The sequence below is a fragment of the Homo sapiens genome, chromosome 7, assembly GCF_000001405.40.
Source record: "Homo sapiens chromosome 7, GRCh38.p14 Primary Assembly".
Classification (NCBI taxonomy): Eukaryota; Metazoa; Chordata; class Mammalia; order Primates; family Hominidae; genus Homo; species Homo sapiens.
The window spans coordinates 25,892,987-25,902,559 of record NC_000007.14 but is presented as its reverse complement, the minus strand read 5'-3'; the positions used below and the strand labels follow the sequence as shown (position 1 = coordinate 25,902,559).

Genomic DNA, 9,573 nt, shown 5'->3' with positions numbered 1-9,573 from the left:
GTTTCCGGGATCACTGAAGCAGAGGTGAGCGAGTGTGGAGGGACCCATTTCTGTTCCTACATACTCTGGACCAAAGTGATACATAGTCCATCAGCCCTTTTTCTCATGGTCTTTTGGCCAGAGGTAGTCACATGGCCCCCAGCCCAACTGTAACCAAGGCTGGAAATGTTGCCAAGCAGAGGGCCTAGTTGGAAAATACTTTTGCCCCTTCCACAGACTGATTTTAGCTTGATTTTGATTTGGACTTGGTTGTTTTTTTTTTTTTTTGAGATGGAGACTCACTCTGTCACCCAGACTGGAGTGCAGTGGCATGATCTCGGCTCACTGCAACCTCCATCTCCCAGGTTCCAGCGATTTTCCTGTCTCAGCCTCCCAAGTAGCTGGGACTACAGGCATGTGCCACCATGCCGGGCTAATGTGTATATTTTTTAGTAGAGACAGGGTCTCACCATATTGGCCAGGCTGGGCTCAAACTCCTGGCCTCGTGTGATCTGCCCGCCTCGGCCTCCCAAAGTGTTTGGATTACAGGCATGAGCCACTATGCCCAGCCTCTGATTTGAACTTTGAATTCAAAATGGTAACGAGAGTATTTATTCAACTTCTGCCTGAAATAGTTGACATGATATCCCTTATATTTCTTTTATGGGCTCCCATTTCCTTAGTGCTTTATTATTTTCAACACCCTTCCACATGACTCATCTCATGTGATACTAGCAGAAAGAGAAATTCTGATAGTCCAGGAGACTGCTGTATTTCCCTTTTGTTTCCTCCAGTTCAGCAGCTGTGGTACCTGTGAAGCAAGTTTATGGAAGATATATCCTGTTAGCTCAACCCCTGGAAGTGGTCTTTTACAAAAGATTGAAGTCAGAAATAGTATTTATTTCATCATTGGAACTAAATCTTGGTAAACTATGACCACATCTTTTGTTGACAATTAACAACATCAGTGACAGACTCAGCTTCATTGTGATTGAGTTTCTGGAAGCTGAGAATATTCTAGTTTGAAAGGAGGTAGGTAGGAGGGGCCTGGCATGACTGAGTTTGGGGTCCAGGGCAAAGCTAGACCATTCCCAAAACTGCTGAAAGACTGGTGTTGGAGGCTTTACCTGCTAGCTTTTTAAAATTAGCCATCAGATGATTCTAAAATTAAAAAGAAGCTAAGATGGAAGTGAAATGTGAAATGGCATGGAAACAAATGGGTAGTTGAAAGTTCTGGATCATGGGATCATTTCCTTTGGTGGTGGTGAGCACAAACTTAGATTTCAACTTTTCCCCCTAATATATGTTCTGAAGACATGATTGCCAATAGGGCAGATAAATCCCATGGAGTGGTTTCCGAAGGAGGCCAATGATGAATTTGTTTACAAATTAATTGGTCAGGGCTCTGACTTTAGCCTTTAAGTCCTCAGCAACTGCTGACAACTTTGGCCTAATTTTGGGAGGAGATTATATTTGGCTGGGTTGCTGAGCTCTTTCTCAGAACCTCTTCTCAGGACAGTTGCCAAATGCTCTTTTTGAAACTGTGTTCTGAGGAAAGTTGTTTTGAGTCGTCGCCTGGGGCCTGATGCCCCAACTGGAGACACACATGTTACAATCTTTATATTCCATTAGAGTTGAAAGCAGATATCATCAACCTCCCATAGCTCCCAATAACTAGAAAGATTCTCTGAACCTTACCAGTTGCCTGATGGGAAGCAAGGAATCTTACCTCTCTATTGTTGGGCAATTTCTTAGTCCAACACAGTCCTTCTCAATGCTTTTAAAACCAGGGCTCCCTTTGAGAAATCATGAAAGATTTCAAGGCTAGTGTGCTGGAAAGACTGGTGTACCTCCCTGAACCTCGATTCTATTCTTTGACTTGAATAATTTGGGTAGGTTTCTGTTTCTTGCAATCACACATGCCCTAATTAAGCCTCTAGAAATGGGAACATATCTAGAAGGGTCACTAAAATATAGCTGAGTTTCAGCCCTCCAAAATGTGAATAAGACATTATTGCCCTCATAACTTTAATGTTTCTCTAGGAATCATGATGATATGAAAATGCAGCCTCTTCATTCATTTTGTTTTAAAAAACAGTGCTGTTTAATAAGAAAAAAGATATATATCTAGCCAAGGGGTGGGAGGGTGACGCAAGAGGAGTTGGGTGAGAAAAAAAAAGGAGAAAATAGCAAAATTGTCCACGTTAGCCTTTGCCGCTGGCTTTTGAGCTATTCTTAATCCTGTCAGCACAATTAATGAGGGAAAAATAGTTCCCAGAAGAAAAGTAGCTGGAGGCACTGACCTGCCCTCCAACCCCCTCATGCCAAGAGGTGCAAAGTCTAGAGAAAGTTTCCCCGGTGAGAGTTACTGGGAAAATGACTCTCGGTCCTGGGTAAAACTTTCTTTCTTTGTCAACCTCAAGGGCAAGTTAGTTTATGGCCAAGAATATACACGGTGCTTCAAATGCAAAGGAAGACACTCTCTCTTCAAATGGTTTACGGCTTAGATGGGGAAGAAATGTCTACACTCTAGAAATGAAATGATGAAAGGACCTTACAGAGCAGGGGTACTCCTGAGCGAGCCAGGGGATTCACAGGTAAGCATTCTTGGAAAGTAAAGCTTTCACACTGGAGTAGTTGGGAAAGACTTCAGGAGAAGGTGGGTCCTGGCAAACCTTAGAGGAAATATGGCTCCATGTGGATGAGGAGAAGCAGGAAAGAATGTGGATAGAGTATCCTGTGTTGGAACGGCAGAAACGGAGTGGCCTGATCCGAGGGAAGGCTTTGTATTCAGTTGCAACAGTGAAAATAGAAAAAATGTCTTGAGTTAATACTGCCTCCATCTAAATGCCAATTAGACTCAAATCCACCCTCCGTAAGCGTGTTAATGGCTGGGTGCAGTGGCTCATGCCTGTTATCCCAGCACTTTGGGAGATCAAGGTGGGAGGATTGCTTGAGCCCAGGAGTTGTCGACCAGCCTGGGCAACATAATAAGATCCTGTCTCTACAAAAAATAAAAGATTAGCCAGATTTTGTGGTGCATGCCTGTAATCCCAGCTATTCGGGAGGCTGAGGCAGAAGGATGACGTTAGCCCGGGAGGTTGAGGCTGCAGTGAGTCATGATCATGCAGCTGCACTCCAGCCTGAGTGACAGAGCAAGACCCTGTCTCTAAAACATAAAAATAAAAAAAAAAAAAACACTTTTCATTACCAGCTTAGTTTGCATAATCCAAGACAATATACAACTTTATTTCACATATTAAAGTTAGGCAGGCTCACCTGGGATTCAGATGCTGCAGAATTTTTTGGGGGTAAGCTCAGAAAGAGATGGGAGAAAGTATGCTAATAAGAAAGTCACCTATCTCTTATATTTAAGAAGGAAACCTTAAGTCAATATTTCCATAAAATTTTATTTTTTGTTTATAATTTACATTATAAACCCAGTTTCTAATTTTAGCACGGAAATTTAGGTACCAGTAGCAACAGATAGGTGCCTTGCCATAATAAGTCCTCATATTTTGCATTTACAGAGCATTTTCACGTTCATTACCTTATTTTGGTAGTCTGTTCCCAATTTTTATTCTTGCTGCTAAGGGTTTTCTGCGATGTCACAGAGCTACATAATAGGAGAATCCAAATTCAAGGCCAGGTCTCCTGACTCCCAGTCTAAGCCCTTCCCAAACCTGGGCCACACCACCTGTTTCAGTGGAGGTGTCTATTGTGTAGGCCCAGAGGCAAACACAGCTATCCTGGATGTGGATGAGGGCACAGCAAGCCAGCCAGTCTCACTCACTGTGGTGGGAGCACAAACTGATATGCATCCTTTGGAAAAAGCAATTTGGCAAAATGTATTGAGAACCTTAATACTGTTTCTACACTTTGACCCAGTAATTCTACTTAAAGGAATCTATCCTAAGAAATTAATGTGATATTAGCCGAAGGTTTACATAGAAATATGTTTACTGGAATGCTACTTATAATTCCAACAATAAAAGGTTAGTTAAGAACATTGTGGTTCTGGGTGCAGTGGCTCATGCCTGTAATCCCAGCACTTTGGGAGGCTGAGGTGGGTGGATTGCTTGAGCCCAGGAGTTTGAGACCAACCTGGGCAACATGGCAAAACCCTGTCTCTACCAAATAATACAAAAATTAGCTGGCATGTTGGTGCACACCTGTGGTCTCAGCTACTCAGCAGGCTGAGGTGAGAGGATCACCTCAAGGGTGTAGTGAGCCATGATCATGCCACAGCACTCTAGCCTGGGTGACAGAATGAGACCCTGTCTTAAAAAAAAAAAAATTATGGAAATAATGTGAAAATATTTATTATATAAGATCAAATGAAAAAAGTCATCATCCAGATAGAATAACTAGCAGAGAAACAAGATGTATACCAAAATGTTAAGGCCTAACTGTGACTAATGAGATTACAAATACAATTTTTTACATTTAATACCCATTTCCCATGTTTTCTATAAATAAGATGTAATTTTATAATCAGAAAAAAAGATTATATTTAAAAATTTTTAAATTATAAAAGCAGCCAGTGAGACTAAACACTAAAAATAAAGAGTGATTTGGGGATTAAAAATGGTCATTTTATCTAGATTGGTTCATAAACTGTATGGTTCATGTTCAGGAAAAACTAACAAACAAAAATATGGTGCTAATTTGTTACATTTCCAAGGAGAAGATTAAGGATGTATGATTTAAAGATGAAAACCACAATTGCAATAGAGCATGTGGCAAATATTTCAAGCTAGCAAAGTTTGACTAGGTAGTGGAATCACTTTCATGACTAAAGAAAGCTATACTGAATGTGTAGGAGTGAGGCTCTAGGGAGCCTCACTAGGAGAAGCTCTTGCAAGATCCCTGCACCATGTGGTAAGCTGGTTTCTTCCTCCGTGGTCTTTGGCCCTGGCTTGTTTTGTGTGATAAAAAGGAAGAGTCATCGGAGAGCTTCATATACAGCGAACACAACCTCAGAGATACTTTGGAGCTTTCTGGGTGGGGGAGAAAGACGTGGCAAAAGCAGCTGAAGGATTCAGGGTTAACACTTTGCCTTTTGAAGAGACTTCAGTTCTTGGAGGGCTTCCAGTCTGAATTTGGGGAATTCATCAACAGGAAAACAAATAGCTGGCAGGCTCTGTATTTACTCTGCCCTTCTCAAGGTTGCAACATAAATCTCCCAACTTGGAAAGCATTAAGGCCGAGGAGACATTTTGTGAGTTCAGGGACTCTCCTCCAGTCTGCATGAACCACGTCTACCCTCATTTCGGGAAAACACAGGCACCAGCCCTCAAGGTGCTGCGGGAGACAGTACTGACACTGTTTGACTCGCTTGGGGCAGACTGGGGAAATGAGAGCTGGAAAACTTGAGTTCTCAAGTGAGAGCTGTTGGTCTGCTTTGGAAAAAACCCACTTACGCCAGGAGAATGAAAGCCCTGAGAAGTTCTCACTGGGTGAGTTTATGGCAGGCTTGCCATGAAAAATACCCAATGGTTCTTTGATGGTGCCCGAATTGTAATATAGCTAGATCAATTCTGGAAGCAACCTTCTTCAACACCACTGGAATATGTATGCTCCCATGCCCAACGTTTCCAATTAGCAGAGAAGCTAATGCTGGAAACCATTACATATAATCCAGAAAAACTGTCTATGTAACATTATAAAAATTGAATATGTGTCAGAAGTGGATTTAGATTCTTTGGGTTAATATTATTTTTGCAATTAAGTAAGGAACTGACATTAATTTACTTGCTCTGTGTGATTAGGTTAATTTACTCCAGAATAATCTTGCATTTTAAAAATTAAAAATGGTAGCTGTATCTTCTCATTATCAATCAAACTAGCAGTGGCACTACAGAAACATCGTCATTTTGTACTCAACTGTGCTCTTATAGACAGTCAAATAAGCACTAAAAAATGACAAATTACCATGCTCTGATAGATCTTCACGTTTAAGTACCTACAAATAACTGTCCATTTGTGAATGGTTAAGCTTAATCCATTATTTTTCCTATAAGCAAGATAACCTCTTTCATAAATAGATATCTACAAATAATACTTAGAGCAGTTTAACTCTTAGATATAATAATGCCACAGTATGTAGAAAACGAAATAGGCTTACAAAAATAAAGCTAAATAGTTTATCCTTTTTTTGACCTTCACAAATGTAAGTGTTCTATCTATGGCTCTATAAATTGTTTAAATCCTTTAATGATGCAAATGCGCTGATAATGTTCCTATACTTGCTGGAACTATGGTTCTGTTAATATTTTGAAAATTACTTTAATTAACCTTATCTCATTTTGTAGTAGTTATAGAACACTTTTATATTTTTTAACTGTGCACTAATTTGTTTCATCATTAACCTTGGGTTTTACCCTTGGTAATTATGGTAATTCATAATTTGGGTTGTGTCAGGTGCTAGTGGATTCAAACAATACATATTGTGGGAACCATCAATAGCTTTGGTAGTCAGGATTCTTTAGTTTGCAGGGGACAGAAAAAAGGCTTGGCAGGCTGGAGGGTAGAGGGGCAGGGTTCCGCAGAAGATTCCCAGGAATGGTTTTTAGTTGGCCAAGGACTCTGGTGGAGGAAGGGGGATGCTGAGTGGCCTAGGTCAGGCACTTACCCGACCCTCCCTAACTCCTCCTTCTGAAATCAGAGAGGGAGGAATCTGTGATAGAAGAAGGAGGAAAAGGAATGGATAGCCCCAAACACTGCGCACTATAATAGTTAATCATATTGATAGTGAGCGCGCGGTCTCTCTCTCTCTTTCTCTCCAGGCAGCCAAAGACTGCCACCATATGCAACTGGGTCCTGCATTTTTCATCTGCATCACCAATTTGTCACTCGAAAACCCAGGTCTCAATCCTCCCTGATTTTTCCAGAAACACCACTAGTATCCAATTCAGTAGGTCCCTATCATGGGCAGTGCGGGGGCGCCGGGCGTGGGCGACGCTCGTGTGTGACTCGCAGCTGGGCAGCCATCCCCGCGGGCGTCCTGGCTCCCCTTCCCTCTGAAAGCGCCGGGGCGGGCCAGCAGGGGGCGAGTTTCATTTCCGCACCGGAGACCCAGCCGGAATCACAAATGCCGCGAACTACACCCTCCTTTCCTGATCTGGCCAGGAGTCTGTGTCATTAAAACTCTCAGTTCTGCTTTTCCCTATATTAACATTATCTTCATTTTGAGCACATCACGTTCAGTGACAGAAAAGGAGATCCCATGAGTCACTGGAGGTAGACTTAAAATAGCTTAAGGATGATATTTCATGGATGTTAGTGACATCAGTCGAAGAAGCAGTGCTTTCAAAGAGCAGAATTCCTCATATTCACTCTTCGGATACCCAGCAGTTTTCCAGGTCTTGGTCTATACCCAGCCTTTTTCTTGGAGGAAGGTGCTCATCTTCCCACACAGGCTACACAGGGGGCAGGGAAAGTTGGGACAGGTGGCACAAGGCCATGTGAAGCCCCCCGTCCTCCTGCCGGGGCATCTTACATATTGCTGCCACTGCCGAGGGGGCATATCTGTGTATAGCTGCCCAGCAGAGTACAGGGAAGGTGTTATGTGGGAAGGAAGACTCCTGGGTGGGTAGGAGTTTGGGCTAAGTCCCTCCTGGTCCAGGTAACTTAGCTGGCCCCTGCAGATATGAGTGGTGGGAGACGGGATCCGGCGGGTGAGAGAGGGGAACCACAGAACCACAGGCTTTTCTCAGGTCGGGGAAAGACCTTAGAGATCACTTAGCTCAATGTCTTCTTTTCCTGACGCCCAGGGAAATTGTGAACAAATTCACCACCACAGAACTAGGCAAGTCCCCTGGTGGGCAAATGGACACCTTCACAGAAGCCATTTTCTTTCCTTGTGTATTATGTATCAAAGGCTAACTGTTTAACAAGCAACCCCGTGTCACAGTGGCTTAACACAAAACAAGTTATTTCTTGCTCTTGGACCACTGAAAGCGTTTCTTGGACAGCTTCCATGCAGTGATTCAGGGACCCAGGCACCTTTCATTCTGTGGCCCCACCATCCCTAAGGGCCTTAATGTTTGCTGCTGAGTACTCTGCATCTGGCTGTGACAGGTAGAGAGAGAGAATGAAGGACTGTGCAGGAGGTGGGCAGGCCTCACTGCCACTCACATTCCACTAGCTAGACGCCACTCTCAGGGCCAACCTTCCCCCAAGGGGAGCTGGGAAATGTAGTCCAGCTGTGTGCACAGGAAGCAGATAGGATGGCTCGGGGCAAGCACACAGCAGTGTCTGCCTCACCTATCTTCAAAGAAAACAGTCTTTGAGTTCTTTTGGGTTATTTACACTGGGTAGCAGAAGGCACATGATCTTTGGAGGTGGACAGACTTGGGTTTGGATATTGGCAGTGTGACCTTGGGCAAAGAAGTAACCTTTAGCCTCAGTTTGCTCAGCTGGTAAATGGGGCTATCTTGTGGGTATTACCTGAGGTAAGGAATGTAACTTGTCTATGTTACCACGTGGTCTCACATGTTTGTTTGTACAAACCAATGGGGCTGGGAGTATTGTTGGGGGAGGAGGAAACAGACTTCCTGTGTCCCATTTCCCCCACTCTGGATGGCAGCACTGCCCAACAGCTTCATTAGACGCCAAGAGTGGTGGCACTTTCTTCTGTCACTTGTTAAATTTCGATGTAGTTCATTCTAATCAATATGGGACTTTGGAAGGAAAAAAAGCATTCCCCAAACCCACAAGCAACCATTTTATTTGATTCATAAAAATTCAGTCACTGAGAAGGCAGTTCCAGCAAGAGAGTTTTGATCCTTCTTGCTCAGGCTGAGATGGTCACATCTAGAAAGCAGTGATTTTAAAATCCTATTTTCTTCTGAAAAAAAAAAAAATTTTTCTGAAGGGCAGTGAAAAGAGAAATAATCTAAGCTGAAGTGTCACTTTTCACTTATGGATATTGATGCTCTAAGACTAAATCTGGCTGACAGGAGTAAAGAGAACTGCCTTCTCATCATGGGTGAGACCCTGCAGGGTGAGATGTGGCTCAGGTATCATGGTGTGCCCAGGGACTGGCACATTAGGGGCTTCAATAAATATTTGCTGGTTAAATTAATAGGTGATTGAAGACAGTTACAGAAGTAATAACAACGAAAACAATTTTTTGGCCTGAAACGTCACTTTTTTTTTTTTTTTTTTGCGGGGTGGGTGGAGGGGAGGCAGTGGAATCCTGCATTTTAGTTTTTGGATTCCCTGAATGGTTTCTTCAATCATAAATGTTTGCTAAACACACACACACACACACACACACACACACACACACACACACACGCTCATACACGCTCATACACATGCCGACATTCTATAGGAAGGTAAAATAAAGAGGAAGCCCAATTGTGTCTGCCTTTTTAGGGCATTGTCCTTTAAAATAACCTTCCAAGCCTAGCTAGTTAAGCTTAGTGGCGATAAGATATTGAAAGCAATAAATAAATCCACATACGGATCTCAGAAGGTTAACAGTTTTTTAAGAAATTATTGTTCAAATCCAAGGGTAAAATGGCGCCTGAAATTACAAAACGTGGTCCTGTAGTGCCCTCTGGTGTCTTTTGCCTGGAATTGTCA

At 42.8% G+C, this 9,573-nt stretch overlaps 2 annotated features.

Moving 5' to 3' along the window:
• Window positions 7,211-7,300: an enhancer, noted in NCBI's record as "active region_25772". NCBI's record gives its function as "activates an Ori minimal core promoter by ATAC-STARR-seq in GM12878 lymphoblastoid cells {active_cell/tissue: GM12878}" and the evidence as "EXISTENCE:reporter gene assay evidence [ECO:0000049][PMID:35858748]".
• Window positions 9,494-9,573: an enhancer, noted in NCBI's record as "active region_25771". NCBI's record gives its function as "activates an Ori minimal core promoter by ATAC-STARR-seq in GM12878 lymphoblastoid cells {active_cell/tissue: GM12878}" and the evidence as "EXISTENCE:reporter gene assay evidence [ECO:0000049][PMID:35858748]".